We start from the raw sequence: 18,636 nt of genomic DNA on the forward strand, positions 1-18,636 counted from the left end.
GAACTCTAGAAGGTAGCATGTAGAATGCATCTGCCAGTTGCTGTTCAAGTGTGGGTCCCCCTAACCTTGGGTTTTCCCAAGTGGTTCTCTTTTATATTCTGTCTCTCTTCTTCTGAGTAGCAGACCCATTTGTTGGTTACTTTTTTCCTGAAACATCAAAGTTTTAGAATCTGTTGGGTTGTTTTTTTTTCCTAAGTTGCCTTACACTATTGATTCTACACGAGCAGATCTCAACACCGGTGTATTATATAGCATTGGAAAATACAGGTGCCCAAGGCTGCCCCTGTGGATCCTGATTTCATTGTCTGATGTGGGATCCTGGTTTAGATATGCTTCGAAAGCTTGCAGGAGATTCTCACATGCTCCTACCATTGCAAACCACTGTTCTACACCACATAGTTACCCTCTTCCCCAGGCCCCCAGCCTGTGCTCTGTCTGGAACAGTAGCGTTTTTAGTTGACCTGCCCCCGTGCCCACTCTCTTTCCCTCTCTCTCTGCCTCTCTGGAGTCCCAGCTCTTCATTTTCTTCCTGTATCCTCCAGCCCCCAATTCCAGATCCGAACAACATGAGAGACTTTGTCAGCTACCCATCAGCCGGCAACGAGCGGCTGCACTGCACCATGAAGCGCACAGAGGACGACCCGGAGGTGGGCGGCCCGTGCTACACGCTCTACCTGGAGTACCTGGGCGGGCTTGTGCCCATCCTCAAAGGGCGGCGCATCAGCAAGCTGCGGCCAGAGTTCGTCATCATGGACCCGCGGACAGATAGCAAACCAGGTGGGCCCCTCACCCGAGGGACTGGGACCTTGTTCTCCTGTGGTCATGGGCTGTTAACGCCTTACACCCCATGCAAAGAGAATGTCTGCTAATGAAACGTGAGCCTGTGGGGGCTAGTGTGGAACATCCTTGAAGCTACGACATTTCCAGAATCCCATTGAAATGAACAGTTCTCTAAATGTACTTTTTGACAGGTTTTTAATCATATTCCATGGGCAGTGGATAGCTGGGCGGTGGATAGATGAACCAGGCAAGGGGAAGTTGGCGCAGTCCTCCTGGGAGTGAGGGTTTCCTCTTCACAGTTACCGAGTATTCATCGAGTGCCTTCATGTAATATTGAGACAACTTGAAAATAATAACAAGATACAGTCCCTACCCTCCCAGAGTGGATGATAAAATTGAAATCAAACCTTCAGCCTCCTACCCCTCCCTAGTCTACTGTTAACTGCTTTTTACCTGATTGCTAATGACAATGTTTTGCTCATCCATAAAGATGTTGGTATGAGTCACCCTTTTCTTCTAAAAACCTTTCCCTGCAGTGATTTTCATTGCTCAGTTAATGTATTCAAGATGCTCCCTGCACATCTCTCTGGGATCCTAGATTGTAAGCTTCAGAGGGAAGGGACTTTGTTCTTTTTTTGTGCCACTTGGTACTAGGCTAGTGTCCGTGCACCCATCAGTCACTGCCAGCTCAGTCTGCCACCTCCCTCTGAAACTTTGCCCATCACCTATGGCAGAACGAACAGCACGCTTAGTCATTGTGCTCCAGACGCTGCCCCGCTGAATCCTGTGGGCCTGGGGGGAGAGAACTGAGTCATCTTTGTGCCCTCAGTGGATTTGGATTTGTTTTCATTAGTTCATGCTTCCTCTCGCCACTTCCTCGCTCCAGTTTACTCTCCTGCCCATTAGTCTGGTCCCTGCCTCTCATTACGACCTGGAGCTAGCATGACCTGTGGCCTGACCAGTCACCCCAAGTCACAGTGTGGTGGGCTTGCTCACTCTCAACTTGTACTCAGCGCTGTACACAGGTGCCCCACCTCTGCCTGCCAGCCTTCATTTGTTCAGCATCGGCAGTGACACTCTACTACCCCTGCAAAACAGCAATACCACTTGTCAATATTAGATATTAGTCCGTTTTTTCTGTCTTTTGACTCGTGACAAGCTAGTACCAGGAACAAAGAAAGCAACTAGCAGAATTGGGGCTGGTAGGGAGGCAGACTGAAAGGAGGGAGAGGACAGATTCAGGAGGAAGGAAGGCACAGTGGGAAAAGCAGGAGAGAGAGAAGCGCATGTTCACGTGGGAGGGAAACATGGTTTCAGGGAAAAGGAGAAGGGCCACCAATGGTTAGAGATGACTGGGGTGGGGGCCGTGGGACAGGCCCTGAGCCCAGGTTTGCAGCAGATGTTCTCACTGATGTCAGTACCTCTAAGGTTACTCCCCTGGGTACAATTTTATAAAATCTGTATTGAGATTAAATGTTGGCGATAACTTAGGTGAAGAGCTTATTTCCTCATGTGTGCATAAATTCTTCACTGAAGAAGACGGACCGGAGGCTGTGCTGTGGAGTACCCAAGGACTGGGCTTGCTTGAATCTGACCCGACTACGCCAAATGCCTGCTCTTCCTTCCGGTTCATGTTTATCAGCTCGTATCAAACACAGACCCACTCATTTGCGCACAATCCTTTCAGGGAATAAGATGTTGTATTTTTATAATTAAAAGAATTAAAAGCTATAAAACAAAGCACATTGACAGATATTTAGTCAGTGCCTACCTTGTGTGGGGTACTTGAGTCTCCTGCTATTATTAAGTAATACCAGGTCATCTCTGCTTTTAAGGAGTTTCTAAACCCTTTTGGGTGATAAGACAATGTAAGCACTTGAAAAGTTTAATTAAAAAGTCAAGATTTAAATACCTGATGACAAAAATAGAGGATATGTCACAAGGCACAATATAACTAATTGCACCTGAATGGCATATATAAACTATTTCAGAGGTGGAAAAGAGTCCCTGACATTGAGAAAACAGGAATTTCTTTTTTCTTTTTATTGGGGGGATGGAGGGACAGGGTCTTGCTCTGATGCCCAGGCTGCAGTGCAGTGGTGCCATTACAGCTCACTACAGCCTTGACCTCCCAGGTTCAAGCGATCCTCCCACCTCAGCCTCCTGGGCAGCTGGGGCTACAGGTGTGCACCACACTTGCTAATTTTTGTATTTTTTGTAGAGACAGGGTTTTACCATGTTGCCCAGGCTGATAAACTCCTGGGTTCCAGTAGTCCTCCGCCTTGGCCTCCCAAAGTGCTAGGAACCACCATGCCTGTCCCCAAATTTCTTATCATTAAAAGCTGATTAACTCATTGAGGCCGCCATATCATTGTTTCTCAAAATGTGTTCCATGCACCACCACCCCCATGCAAATCACCTGGGATGCTTATTTAAATACACGTTCCTAGGCTTACCCTTAGATTACGATTCATTAGGGCTGGGGTGGGGCCTACAAACATGCGACTTAATGGGTTTCCCAGGTGGTTTTTATGCACTAAAGTTTGTGATCCACTGTCAAGTGACTTGGCAGATATGTTCCTCAAAATCACCAGTGTGTATTTTTATACCAGATACCATGAGTCCCAGTAGTTTTTTTTTTTTTCAGACAGGGTCTCACGGTGTCTCCCAGGCTGGAGTGCAGTAGTACAATCATGGCTCATTGCAGCCTTGAACTCCTAGGCTCAAGCAACCCTCCCACTTCAGCCTCCAAGTAGCTAGGATCGCAGGTGTGCACCACCACACCTGGCTAATTTTTTAATTTTTTTTTTATTTTTGTGGAGGTGGGGGCTCCATGTGTTGCCCAGGCTGGTCTCACCTCCTGGATTCAAGATCCTCCAGCACTGGCCTCCCATAGTGCTGGGATCATAGGTGTGAGCCACCATGCCCAGCTGCTTCCCTCCACCACCCCCACCCATTGTTTTTTAAAAGGAGGCAGGGTCTTACTCTGTCACCCAGACTGGAGTGCAGTGGTATGATCATAGTGCACTTTTTTTTTTTGTAGAGACAGGGTCTCACCGTGTTTCCCAGGCTGGTCTTAAACTTCTGATCTCAAGAAATCCTCCTGCCTCGGTCGCCAAAGTGCTGGGATTTACAGACATGCTATTGCACCTGGCCCACACATTTTCTAAAGGAATCTTTAGCCAGAGCTTGCTATAGACTGACTTGTGTTGCCCTAAAATTCATATATTGAAGTCCAGACCCCTAGTGTGAAGGTAGGACATTTAGGGGAGATTAAGGTAAAAGGAGTTCATATAGGTGGATCCTGATCTGATTTAGTTACTGGCCTTAAAGAAAAGAAGGAGAAAGAGATCTCTCACCACGCACGTGCACCAAGGAGAGGACATATGAGGACACAGCGAAAAGACAGCTGTCTGCAAGCCGGGGGCAAAGCCTTCACCAGGAAGCAGGCGTTGTCACCCTAACCTTGAGACTGCTCAGCCTCCATAATCGAATGGACCAGTTATTTAGCGCGTGCGCCTGTGTGTGTGCACGCACGCTTGTGCGTACACACGTGCTCTTGCATACACACACGCATAATACTGGTTTTGTTTTTCTGGAGAACCCTGACTAATACAGATTTTGGATCCAGGAAATGGGTATTGCTGTAACAAATCTCTAAACATGTGGAAGAAGCTTTGGAACTGGGTAATGGATATAGGCTAGAAGAGTTTTGAGGTGGATGCTAGAAATACGGATGTTAAGGGCAATTCTGGTGAGGTCTTAGTTGGAAATGAGGAACATACTGAAAACTGGATGAAAGGTGATCCTATAAAGCAGCAAAGGATTTGAGTAAACTGTGTTTACTGTTTCATGGAAGGTAGAACTTGCAAGTGATTAAACTGGATATGTAACTGAAGAGATTTGTAAGCAAAGTGTTGAAGGAGCAGTTTGGTTCCTCCTGATGGCTTATAGTAAAATGCAAAAGGAGAAAGATGAATGGAAGAAGGAATTGTTAAGATAAAAGATGAAGATTTAGATTTAGAAAATATTTAGACTATTCATATTGCAAAAAATAAGTATTAAGTACATTTTGAAGAAAATACCAAAGTTATGGCTGGACTCTCATTTGATAAAGCGCTTATGAAATTATATGAGCAGAGACACTGCCAGTTTGAACTGTAGTGGATGGAAACAGGATGAAAGGAAGGAGAGAGGCTGTTGGACTTCTTAGCTTTGACCAGCTGGGATGATGGAGCTGTTTGGCCACTAACATGCACTATTCTTCAAGAAGAAAGAAAAATAACCTTGAAAGTGATTCAGAGATCATTAGGTCCACCTCCTCAGTTTCAGCAGGCCAGATGGCCTTTGCACAGAGCCTTGTGGGCAGAGCCATGGGGGCAGGATCCCTGCCAGAGTTAGGAGGGTGATGCTGACACCCCAGTAGGCCTGGAGGACAGGATATCAAACCAAAGAAGACTCCACTCAAGCCTCAAAATTCAATGGAATTTTCTTTGCGAGATTTGGGATTTGCTTGGAACCTGTCACCACTTTCGTACTTCCAGTGTCTCCTTTTTGGAATGGGAATGTCTATTCTATGCCTGTCCCACAATTGTATTTTGGAAGCACATAACTTCTCTAGTTTCACAGGTTCACAGCTGGAGAGCAGTTTTGCTTCAGGATGAATTGTACCTCAGGTCCCATCCATACTGGATTTAGGTGACAATTTAAATGAGATTCTGGACTTTAGAGTTGATATTGAAATAAGTTAAGACTTTGGGGGTTTTGGGAATAGAATGAATATATTTTGCATGGGAGAAGAACATGAATCTGAGAGTGGCCAGGAGTCCTGTGGACTGAATTGTGCCCCCACGTCACCCCCAAAATTCATATTGGGAAGTCCTGACTCCCAATGTGACTGTATTTGGAGTTAGGACTTACAGGGGGGAGTTAAAATTAAATGAGATCTTAAGGGAGGTCCTAATCTGATAGGACAGTTGGCCTTATAAGAAGACAAGGACTAACTAACGCCTGTGATCCCAGTGCTTTGGAAGGCCAAATCACAAGGTAAGGAGATCAAGACCATCCTGGCTAACAAGGTGAAACCCCATCTCTACTAAAAATATAAAAAATTAGCCGGGCGTGGTGGCGGGTGCATGTAGTCCCAGCTACTCAGGAGGCTGAGGCAGGAGAATGGCGTGAACCTGGGAGGCGGAGCTTGCAGTGAGCCGAGATCGCGCCACTGCACTCCAGCCTGGGTGACAGAGCAAGACTCGTCTCAAAAAAAAAGGCAAGGAAAGAGCTCTTTCTTCATGCACATACACTGAGTAGAGGCCACCTGCAAGCCAGGAAGACAGCGTTCCCCAGAATCTAATCATTCTGGCGCCCTAGTCTTGGACTTTCAGCCTCCAGAGTATGAGGAAACAATTTCTATTATTGGAGCCACCCAAGTCTGTGGTATTTTGTTATCGTAGCCTGAGCAGATTTAGAGTGTATATTTAAAAGCCATTAAAACCGTTTTTAAAGATTTTATTTTAAAAATATATCTAATTCAGGAAGCTGGGCACAGTGGCTCACCCCTGTAATCCCAGCACTTTGGGAGGCCAAGGCGGGAGGATTGCCTGAGCTCAGTAGTTCAAGACCAGCCTGGGCAACACGGTGAAACCCTGTCTCTACTAAAATACAAAAAAAAATGGCCAGGTGCAGTGGCTCATGCCTGTAATCCCAACAGTTTGGGAGGCCAAGGTAGGCAGATCACCTGAGGTCAGGAGTTCAAGTGCAGCCTGGCCAACATGGTCAAACCTCATCTCTAATAAAAATGCAAAAATTAGCTGGGTGTGGTGGCAGGTGCCTATAGTCCCAGCTACTCGGGAGGCTGAGGCAGGAGAATCACTGCCTCGGGAGGCTGAGGCAGGAGATGGAGGCTGCAGTGAGCCTAGATTGCACCACTGCACTCCAGCCTGGGTGACAGAGCAAGACTCCATCTCAAAAAATAAGTAAATAAAGAAAATACAAAAAATTAGCCAGCCATGGCAGCATGCATCTGTAGTCCCAGCTACTCAGGAGGCTGAGGCAGGAGAATCGCTTGAATCCAGGAGGTGGAGGTTGCAGTGAACCAAGATAATGTCACTGCATTGCACTCCAGCCTAGGCGACAGAGCGAGACTCCATCTCCCAAAAAAACCCACAAAGCCTTCAACCCAGAAGAAATTAGCAGATTCTTGAAAACTGACAGAATTGAGATGTAAAGCCCCAGACATTGTAGTTAAGCCATAGGTTCTCAAAGACCAGTCCCAGCTTACATTTTTCTACGACTTAGATGTTTTTCCAGAACAGCCATGATAAATTGATGACACAGAATCTCTAGAAGTATGAAGTAGACCCAGCCACCACCTCAGCCTCTGCAAATGTGGAGCTTATGTCATGCACTGAATTGCTAGTCGTGCTGATGACAGACGTCAGAGTGGCAGGCAGTGCCTGCACGTGTGGAATTGTAACACTGAACAAGCAGGGCTGAGGACATGTTTTCAGAAAGCCATTTTCTTTGTCTCATGCCACCCCTTAAATCGTCATTTATTCTTTCAGAAAGTATTTATCAAGTCTCAGGTATTGTTCTAGTCTCTGGGGTTAAAGCAGGAGGCAGGACAGATTACTTTCCTTCCCTTGTGGAGTTTGCAGTAGTTGGGGAGACAGACAATAAAATAGTAGTTATGGCCAAATGCAGTTGCTCAGCTCTTCTAATCCCAGCACTTTGGGAGGCTGAGGCAGGAGGATCACTTGAGTCCGGGGGTTTAAGACAAGCCTGGGCAACATAGTGAGACCCTATCTCTATAAAAAAGAAAATAGTAGTTTTGAGTGAAGGGATAGAGGAAATGGTCTGGGACATGGTATTTGAGGGTTCCTGGCATTGATGAGTGAGTCAGGAGCTGAGTGGGCAGTGTCTTACTGGGTTTCCTCAAGTCGAATCACACACACAGGCACATTCTGTAGGCTTGCATGCATGCTTGAGTCATAGCTGAGATTCCTTTGATCCAGTGATTCCTAAATTAAGTCATATAAAACACTGCTCAGGACTTGTGCATTAAGCCTTTTTATTTGCTTAAACACAAATACCACTGTGGCTTCACTGTGGCTTTCGCTGGGTCCAGGCGTCGAGCCTCCTGATTCAGTGAGTGCTTTAAAAAGGGGGTGATGTGGGCGACACAACCTGGGGCCAGCCTCCTTTCCAAGGAGCTTGCCAAGCTTTTCTGCCTCAGAGGGGCCCCTGTTCACAGATGCCACCTCCAAATGCTCAGAAACTTCTAGATTGGTTTGGATTAAGAAACTCATCCTTTAAAATATAAACAACCTTTTTGGATGGTAAGATCACTCACATTATGAATTATTTCATTGTGATTGAATGATACAGCTTTTATTTATTACCTGGCAAGGCACTTGGAGCCTTGAGGCAATGAGATTTTCATCAGAAAAACAAAGTAATCTGGAAGAATGGGGTCCTCACATTGAGGACAGACCTGGGGCAGTGGAGGGGGGTGTGTGGGGGATTTGGGTGGTGAGGGGATGTGATAGCACAGGTGGGGATGGGCAGCAAGGGAGAGGAATTCCAACGAAGAGGAACTTTGCCCCACAGTTTTGCCATCATCCCACTCTGCACATCATCTCACCGTCTGCCTGAAGGCCCCATGCGGAGTACCCCCAGAAGAACCCAGAGCCATCCTGGGAGTTCCCACCGCACAGGTTTCCTAGCCTTTGCTCCACGCAGGCAAGCAGCTTTACCAGGCGGGAGAGCCAGGCCCCCGCCGCAAGACCTGTGGCAATTCCAGGGGACTTTCTGACTTTCCAGACCTAAGTGGAGGGGACCTGACTCTGTCAGGACTGTAGTTCAAGCAGGCTTGGCATCCGCAAGGGCCTTCTCAGGTCAGAAGCAGGTTCTCAGGGGAATCAGTGAGCCCGCAAGACCCTCAGCCCAGGTTCTGTGGCTGCCTGAAAGTCCGCATGAACCCAGGTGGGCACCTGTGTGTTGTGAGACAACAGCACAGCCATTTTGTTTTCAGCTTTTGGCAAATGGTGTCTATTTCGTACATTCCTAGAAACATTAAAATACCATGCCCATTTTGACAACAGTAGAAGTAATTGCCTCCTTCTGCTTAGAAAATGTAAAAGAGAAAAACAATGCCAAGCTTCTTTTTGGTTTCAACCTCTAGGTCTAAAATGATGGCCTGTGGAGTCCGTCTGTCTTTTAGTTTATAGTAATGATCATTGGTAGGGGCTAATTGATATAACTTCCCTTGAAATCTGCTGGTTGGTGTTTTACCAGATGAAATCTATGGGAACAGCTTGATTTCTACTGTGATCGACAGCTGCAACTGCTCAGACTCCAGTGACATTGAGCTGAGTGATGACTGGGCTGCCAAGAAATCTCCCAAAATCTCCAGAGCTAGCAAATCACCCAAACTCCCAAGGTAATCTCAGTCTTTGGGGAGATCGTCCTTTCTTGTGCCTCTGAATATGTGTGTTTGTGCCTGCAACAGAATCGCATTGAAACTGACCAGAAGAGTCAAAGAGCAACCTCCCTGCCTTTTCTTCCAGAAGATTCCAGCTGGAATAATTACAACTTCTATTTGTTTTGTTTTGTTTCCTTCGGGATAGACAAAGATACCCAGTAGAAGTTTGCTACACCCTCAGAACTTCTCTAGGGGTTAGCAGTGATGGTGGGTGGCAGAGGGGTGGCCATAGTTCCCGGGCTTATATGTTTTTTCTTATAGTTTGAGAAAAGGAAGAAAAAGGTTCCCCTGTGGATGTAACATGTTGAAGAGAATGCCAGATAAGATGCCTGTAATGCTGGAGCCGGGCACAGTGGCTCACGCCTGTAATCCCATCACTTTGGGCGGCCGAGGCGGGTGGATCACGAAGTCAAGAGATCTGGACCATCCTGGTCAACATGGTGAAACCCCGTCCCTACTAAAAATACAAAAATTAGCCAGGCGTGGTGGCGGGTGCCTGTAGTCCCAGCTACTCAGGAGGCTGAGGCAGGAGAATCACTTGAATCCGGGAAGTGGAGGTTGCAGAGCCGAGATTGTGCCACTGCACTTCAGCCTGGCAATAGAGCAAGACTGCACCTCAAATAAATAAATAAATAATAAATAAATGCCTGTAATGCCGTAATTGGGAAACATCAACACATCGCATCCACTGTAGAACCTTTTTCTTCACTAAGATTTCTAGTTTTAATTCTGTGATTTTTTTTCTGATGCCATGAAAAACTAAGGTATAAGTTACATACAGATACACATCTGTCCAAATCGTAAACACCTAGCTCATTGTACAAGGGCTATCCCAGTGTCTTCCCCCAAGTTCAAGATAAAAGACATGTCATCATCCCAGAAAGTCTGCCTGTGCTCCCTCCATTTGATACCCATTCCCTAGAAGTAATCACTCTTCTGACTTCCATCATCAGCTTTGCTTGTTCTTAAACTTCATATGATATGTCAAACGATATGTTCCCTTTGTATCTGGCTCTTTTTTTTTTTTTGCTCAGTGTAATGATTTTGAGAGTCATCATGTTGTTGCATGTATCAGTAGTTTGTTTTTCTTTATTGCTCCGTGGTATTCCATTGTAATGATTATACTACAATTAGTTTACTCTGTTTACCAATCAATGGATATTTGTAGTTTCCAGTTTGAGGCTATTATGAACAAATCCATGATAAACATTCTTATACAAGTCTTTTTGTGGACATGTGCGCTCATTTCTCTTGGATATAAACTTGGGAAAGGAGTTGCATGGTCATGGGTCAGATACATGTTAAAGTTTATTAGAAACTGCCGAGCAGTATTCCAGGGTAGCCGCACCCACGTAAATCCCTACCAGCAATTTCCAAGAGAGTCCCAGTTTCTTCCATCCTCAGCAGCGGCTCTGTTGTCATTTTTTAGAAATAATTCTACCTTGTTCTGATAGGTGTAGTGGCATCTCATTTCAGTTTAATTCTGATATCTCCAGTGATGGATGCTGCTTCGTTTGCATGTTTCTTGGCCACTTGGCTGTCTTCTTCTTTTGTGAAGTGTCTGTTCAAGTCTTCTGCCCAATTTATTATTGGGTTGTTTTATTGAGTTATAAGAGTTCTTTCTTTCTTTCTTTCTTTCTTTCTTTCTTTCTTTCTTTCTTTCTTTCTTTTCTTTCTTTCTTTTCTTTCTTTCTTTCTTTTCTTTCTTTCTTTCTTTCTTTCTTTCTTTCTTTCTTTCTTTCTTGTCTCGCTCTGTTGCCCAGGCTGGCGTGCAGTGGCATGATCTCGGCTCACTGCAACCTCCACCTCCTGGGTTCAAACGATTCTCCTGCCTCAGCCTCCCGAGTAGCTGGGACTACAGGCTTGTGCCACATGACCGGCTAATTTTTTGTATTTTTAGTAGAGATAAGGTTTCACCATGTTAGCCAGGATGGTCTCAATCTCCTGACCTCATGATCCGCCTACCTCGGCCTCCCAAGGTGCTGGGATTACAGGTGTGAGCCACTGCAACTGGCCCAAGCTCCTGTGTACCCTCCCCTCCCTTTAGAGCAATCACTACAGGGGCATCTGAATGTCTCATTCTTTTTTGTTGTTGTTTTTTCGAGCTGGAGTCTTGCTCTGTCGCCCAGGCTGGAGTGCAGTGGCGTGATCTTGGCTCACTGCAACCTTCACCTCCTGGGTTCAAGTGACTCTCCTGCTTCAGCCTCCTGAGTAGCTGGGACTATAGGCAAGCGCCACCACGCCCGGCTAATTTTTGTATTTTTTAGTAGAGATGGGGTTTCACCATATTGGCCAGGATGGTCTCAAACTCCTGACCTTGTGATCCGCCCGCCTTGGCCTCCCTAAGTGCTGGGCTTACAGGTGTGAGCCACCGCACCCAGCCAAGAGTTCTTTCTTCTAGATTTGAATCCTTTGTCAGATATCTGTATGGCCATATAGTCCAGCACGTGGCATTCTTCTTTTGTGGTTAGTGCTTTCTGTGTCCTGTTCGGGATGTCTTTGGTTACCTAAGGTCATGAAGCCTTTCTTCAGTTCTCTTCCAGCAGCTTTCTAGTTTTAGCTTTCATGCTTATGGATTAATTTTTGTGTTTGGTATGAATTAGAGGTAAATGCTCATTTTTAAATATGCAGATATCCAGTTACTCTAGCAATCTGATTGATGTCTTTTTTCATCTTTGTTCCAGAGCTTGTTAAAATTGCATGTAACATTATGAACTTTCCTATATTTCCAAAGTGCTTTTTTCCCATTATGTAAGCAGAGAGGACATCTAATGCATGCAGCTAAATCCTTCACCTTTAAACGTCCTCTTCAGGTTGCCGTCTTCCTGTGGCTGGACCTCCTCCTGTTGTCCTTTCCCCATTTGGACCCTCCACACAGCAGCCAGGCTAATTGTCCCACATCATAGCTTTAGGGAGCTCAATCTGCCATCCTCCCACTCCTCAGGAGCCCAGAGTTTCTCATCAAGCTCAAAACCAGTATATATGAGACTTAATGCATTTTTTCATAGACTGTTTTAAACCTTACCATACTCATTTTAATCACACTGTCTTTGGGGTAGACTGTCATTAAACATGTGTGTCTCCATGTTACAAATAAAGGGACTGAGAAGCAGAGATACAACATGGGATCAAAAGGCAGCCAAAAAACTTTACTAATTTGATTTAAATATTGCAGATGGTGAAATGCTAGATAAATTTGTTGAAATTCACACTGTTGCAGAAGAAATTATAAGAATCACTGGCATTAGGGTAAGAAATGACTTGTTCCACCTGCCATTTTCCCAGGACTGATTGTGCAGGCCCCTGGCAGAAGGCCATTTCCACGCTTGCTCCAAGGCAACAGAGAGTGAAAGACAGTTAATTCTTTGAGTTCCTTACAAATGGATCGCTGGATCTCATTTCAGTGTATACTAAGTATATTTTGAGATGGGGTCTTGCTCTGTCATCCAGGCTCAAGTGGAGTTGTGTAATCGTAGCTCATTGCAGCCTTGAACTCCTGGGCTCAAGCGATCCTCCTGCCTCAGCCTCCCAAGCAGCTGGGACTGCAGGTGTGTGCCACCACACCCAGTTTCTCAATATATTTTAAAATGTATATTATTCAATGTAAAGTTGTCATTCTTTCCTCATATTCATAAAGCAAAAGCAAGGGGAGAGCTTTGTTAAATTCGGGCACTGGCTGCAGGGTGAGAACCCAACACCCAGGCTGGCTGTCCAGAAAAAGAAAGGACTGCTGGAGTCAGGGCCATGCTCACCATTCCCGCCACGGATGCCTGACCCCTCCTGGCCTTGCCTCCCCAGGATCAGCATTGAGGCCCGCAAGTCACCCAAGCTGCCCCGGGCTGCTCAGGAGCTCTCCCGGTCCCCACGGTTGCCCCTGCGCAAGCCCTCTGTGGGCTCGCCCAGCCTGACTCGGAGAGAGTTTCCTTTTGAAGACATCACTCAGGTAGGAGCCCCCAGTTACCCTGCCTTGCTCCCCTCCTCCTGGGGGCTATGCCCAGAGGGCCCCTTCCTACCCGCCGCCTGCACTGCTCACTGCCACCATGGGTCCCTGAGCTCTGCTCCACATCCTGCACACCACCTACTACCTCAGGAGTAGCCCTCAGGTGGAGCTCTGGCTTCTCCACCTGTGCCCCTCAGCCAGTTCTGATCTTGCAGTGACGGTGGGAGAGAACCTCCCACTTCCCATCACAGCTCCCACCGTCCAGCCCTGCCTGCCTTTCCCTCCTGGTCCCTCAGTGCCCCCTCACCCTCCGGGTGCTGCAGCCACACCTGGTTCTCACCTGTCCCATGCCTTGCCCTGCCTAGATTGTCACCACCCCACCTCCTCCTCGTTTCTGCCCCATGCTTCCAGATGGAACTCCACCACCACCTCTGCTGTGACGGCCTCCTACCCTGGTTTGCCGGGAGAGGCTGACACACCTGGTGTAGAGCTACCTTATGACATTGCTCAGTGACTTCTTTATATACAGATCATTACAAGCTTTATCTCCTCCATCAGGTTTAAGCTCCTTAAGGGGCTGTATTTTGTCCATCTTTATTTTTGCCCTTGCATACATACCTTAGGCAAAATAATTTCTTAAATTTTTAAAAATTTAATTGAATGAGAAAACAAATGATGGGTAGTTTCAGGACATACTGGTACCAATGCAACCGATGTTTTCAGGCGAAATATCAAAGATAAAAATGGATTCAGAGTTAGATCCCTTTCTACGCCTCTTTAAATCACACACCTGTGGACATACATACTGGGACACACCCCCACCTTTCCCCCAGCTCGATGCGCCCCCACTCACTGCTGCGTGCCTGGCTGCCCTCGTTAGCTTCTGATCTTGCAAATGGTAGATGAGGTAGGGAATGGGTGTTTCTTGCAGTGCACACTCGTGGCTTAAGTAATAAATATTAACATTCTTACTGAGTGACCAGTTGAAAATACGGAAATAGATTGTGATTCTTCTTTTTTCTTTTCTTCCTACCGCAGCACAACTATCTTGCTCAGGTCACGTCTAATATCTGGGGAACCAAATTTAAGATTGTGGGCTTGGCTGCTTTCCTGCCAACCAACCTCGGTGCAGGTAAAAATCATGTCCTCTTCTCTCATTGTCCCAGTTGGAACAAACTAAAACGTCCAGTTTCCACCTTTAGTGGCTTAAACTAGGAGATGAACTTTTAAGACAGCAAAAGATTAGCATGTATTTTACCTCTAAACCTTAACTTCACCACAGTGATTTCACAAAAATTAGAATTCTCACTCACATTGGCTTTTTGCCAGTGGCATTTTTTTTTTTTAAATCTTTTAACTTTTTTTTTGAGATAGTGTCTTACCCAGGCTGGAGTATAGTGACACGATCACAGCTCACTGCAGCCTTGACCTGGGCTCAAGTGATCCTCCTGCCTCAGCCCCCAAAGTAGCTGGGATTACAGGTTCGCGCCACCATGCCCGGCTAATTTTTGTATTTTTTGTAGAGACAGGGTTTCACCACATTGTCCATGCTGGTCTCAAACTCCTGAGCTCAAGCAATTTGCCCACCTCAACCTTCCAAAGTGCTGGGATGACAGGCATGAGCCATCACGCCTGGTCGCCAGCGGGATTTTCATTTTTTGCTATAAGCCCTGACTCATAAAAACAATAGAAATATTAAAATGATAGCAATAGCCAAAATTTGTATCACAGCTCGTATAGATTTCTCAAAACTTTGACTTCTAGGCCTTTTGCTGTGGGCGGATTTTTGGTAAACTCCTGAAGAAAGTGGAGAAGAAAGCATTAGAGACTATAAGTAGTTAGCTAAGGCTGAGTGCAGTGGCTCACGCCTGTAATCCCAGCACTTTGGGAATACAAGGTTGGCAGATCACCTGAGTTTGGGAGTTTGAGACCAGCCTGACCAACATGGAGAACCTTTCTCTTCTAAAAATACAAAATTAGCCTGGCATGGTGGTGCCTGCCTGTAATCCTAGCTACTTGGAAGGCTGAGGCAGGAGAATCACTTGAACCCAGGGGGCGGAGGTTGCTGTGAGCCGAGATCACGCCACTGCACTCCAGCCTGGGCAACACGAGCGAAACTACGTCTCAAGAAAAAAAAAAAAAGATTAGCTGACTATTGGTACAATTCTTGGTGGTAAATTTTTCTGAATTTCATTTCTCAGTACTAGATAAATACCCTGTCCATGGCAAGTTTGAAACAGAGGAAAACTGAGCCAAGGGAGTAAAAGCCAGGCCAGAACATGAACATGTATTCGGATCTGCCCTCCTGCCCAAATGAGTTGCAATACCTTGTTATATTTACCCCAGAGACAGTAATGACGTGAAAATGGCAGAAGGTCCATTCCAGAGCAACTTCCTTCTGTTGGGGAGGTCCCTATGTGAGTTGAGGAGCTGTGTTGCTCCCCGCATCTTTCCCAGTTGCAGAATCACTGCATGTCGTACACGTCTGTCTGCAAGGCCAGCTCAGCCAGGGGGGCCGTGGCCCTCCATTTTGAGCGTGCTGTGCGTAACCTACTAAAACTGGTTTTTGAAAAATTCTGAATCTGTGTATGAGTTGTATGAAGCAGTTCATACACAGATCCTTTAAAATAAATTATTCTTACAGATTAGATGTTAGAAAGACCTATTGCTATGAGGCATTTCACAGATTTTTTAAATAGTGCTGCATTTGAGTTTTTCATTTTGAAGTTTCTGAGCTCAAAGAAAAAGAGGAATAAAATTTAAACATGAAACTGACTTAGGGAATCACAATGGACCATCCCTGTACATAATGCAAATAAATCTCTCATAATATTTTCAGCAACCTGGAAACACTCTGATGACCACAAATGCTTGTTGTTCAGTTACTCGTTAGTGCCCTATTGATTAGATAAGGCTGATTTTTAATAACTACTGTTTAGCTATCATGATTATTCCCACATCAGTAAGCTGAGAACTTAGCCATCTGCCTATGGTAAATATTGAAAAAGGGAATGGAAGTGAGAATTTACTAAATGGGTCTTTTCATTCTTGGATGTTGAGAAGGTCCACAGATAAGCCAGTAAAGATCTTACAATGAGAGAGCATGTGAGAGCCTTTGAGACAAATGCTGGCCTTTTTTGGGGGGTGCAGGGAGATAGGGCCTGGCTCTGTCACCCATGCTAGAGTGCAGTGGCGCCACCACAGCTCACTGCAGCCTCAAGCTCCTGCGCTCGAGTGATTCTCCCACCTCAGCCTGTACTAGCTAGGACTGTAGACAAGGCACATGCCACCATGCCCAGCTAATTTTTTAAAATTTTTGGTTGAGATAGGACTTCACTATTTTGTCCAGGCTGGTCTTAAACTCCTGGCTTCAAGCCATACCCCCATCTTGGCCTCTCAAAGTGCTGGAATTACAGGTGCGAGCTACCATGCTCATCCTGATCTTTTTAAAAATAGTATTTTGATCCATAGAGCTACTTTGTCAAGGTAAAAGAATTTTCCACTTGATTCTATTAATACTAGAGAACAGAAATTAACTATTGAATACTAGAAGGTATGTTATATGTGGTACCCCATTAAATAATCTTTTCAAAGACAGTATATGGCACTCTAGTGAACTTAAAAAGTGAGTGCTGTTCCCCAGGTTGGATAATTTGTTTTCTTTAATTAGAATGATCTGGCCCATGAAATTTTTTTATTTTGAATTTTTGGCATTTTAACAATACACAGTAGATTCTACAAAATTCAAAGCATTCAGAGGGGTCTATAGTAAAAATCTCTGTCATTCTCACCATCAGCCACCTACTTTTCTTTCCTGGAGGTAACTGATGGTATTTTTCTAATCCCTCCTAGAATTTTTTTAAAAATTGCTTTGTCAATGTGAACAACAAAGAATAACACTTTAATACATTCATTCTTAAGTCATATGGAACCACACAGTATTTTTAAACCAAAATTCATATTATCTTTCCTTTGTGGACAAGAGAGAGAAACACATGCCTAGGGCCTTTCCTGCTATTGGGCAGGAGAAGTTACCTTAACCCATACCAGTCCATGGGCCAGCCCCGCAAAGATGCTTCGACAAAGGAGGCCTGCTGTGCCGCAGTCATGCTGCAGGTCAGCCGCTAAGTGTTAAGGTGACCGCCATGGAGCTAGAATAAAGAAGCTTTGTGCTACCTGTCTCACAGGAGAGACTATTGAACACAAAAGCAAGTTCACAGGGCAGTTTCACCCCGACTTTAACTACTGTGAAACTTAAATTCAGATTCATTATATTTAAACTTATTTTGTCTCCTCTAAATATTTTAGTTGCAATCTAGGCCTTCTCCTACATGTCCCTGTTAATCAAATTAAATCTTGAGGTTTTAAAAAAACAACTGTGTGGAAATTCCCTATAAATCTCTATCCTGATGGTTAGATTAAAATTGAAAGCCAGTAAACCAAGGTTCCAGCCGAAATGAAGGCTATGTTTTATTCCTACATGAAACCATGCCACCCCCATCTCAACATTGCTTTCACACAGTTTCTTGGTTGCCCAAGCTTCCCTTGTTTGGCAGTCTGGTTGTCACAACTATTTCCATTCAATCATCCTTCTGACTGCAAATGAGGTTTTTAAAAAATATGTTTTTATACCCTAGCTTATTCCAAAAGAAATGATTTGTGTCTAAAATGTTTTTAACATTTGAAATTTGTAGTTCTGTAGACAAACCATTGGCAAGGAGGCCAAGCTAGACCGGGAATCTGCTGTTACTGAATCCAGAACTGTGGCTAGTATGGTCGCATTGAGTACTAGGGAGAAATGAAGAGCTCCTCTCAGCCTCTGGGCCCTGCCTACACAGATCTGTCTTCTGATGGCAGGGAAACTGCAGTGCGCTCTTCTTCCTGTGACTCTCTTGACACTTTGGCTCTGCTCTGGTGTGTCTCTGTTAACTGTGCCCTTCTTTTTCCCCACCAGTAATCTATAAAACCAGCCTCCTGCATCTCCAGCCGCGGCAGATGACCATTTATCTCCCAGAAGTTCGGAAAATTTCCATGGACTATATTAATTTACCTGTCTTCAACCCAAATGTTTTCAGTGAAGATGAAGATGATTTACCAGGTGTGTTCACATACATCAACGTGTTTGTCACGGTCCCTCTGTCAGTAGATCATGCAAGGGGGACAGAGCGGCAAGTTGTTGAGGATTTCAGTCTGCTACCTGGGTTTGGAAAAGGTATCCCTGCCTCAGTAAGGTTGGTAGATGTGATGTTGTGTCCCAGGGGAAAAGTCACAGGTTGGCACCAGTGTTGGCAGGAGGGGAGCTGCTGGAGCACAGATGGTTCCAGTAGCAGCGGCGCCTTGTGTTTTCGGAGCACAGTTCTAACATCTGGCTTTATCCTCACAGCTATCCTCTTAGTCTTGTGTCTGGATTCAGATAAGTTTGCAGGACTGATTG

The 18,636-nt window shown here is 45.3% G+C and overlaps 1 protein-coding gene across 14 annotated transcripts in view; it reads left to right on the top strand.

Moving 5' to 3' along the window:
* TULP4 (TUB like protein 4) overlaps nt 1–18,636 on the top strand; it is a 279,634-nt gene that overhangs the window by 248,318 nt on the left and 12,680 nt on the right. For all 14 annotated transcript variants that reach the window (XM_047419082.1, XM_047419087.1, XM_047419084.1 and 11 more), the window contains 5 exons: nt 543–777; nt 9,076–9,220; nt 13,061–13,205; nt 14,241–14,334; nt 18,157–18,300. In XM_047419082.1, coding sequence (XP_047275038.1) covers nt 543–777; nt 9,076–9,220; nt 13,061–13,205; nt 14,241–14,334; nt 18,157–18,300 — 763 coding nt within the window. The remainder of the gene's footprint in view (nt 1–542; nt 778–9,075; nt 9,221–13,060; nt 13,206–14,240; nt 14,335–18,156; nt 18,301–18,636) is intronic.

This window comes from Homo sapiens, chromosome 6 (assembly GCF_000001405.40).
Source record: "Homo sapiens chromosome 6, GRCh38.p14 Primary Assembly".
Lineage (NCBI taxonomy): Eukaryota > Metazoa > Chordata > Mammalia > Primates > Hominidae > Homo > Homo sapiens.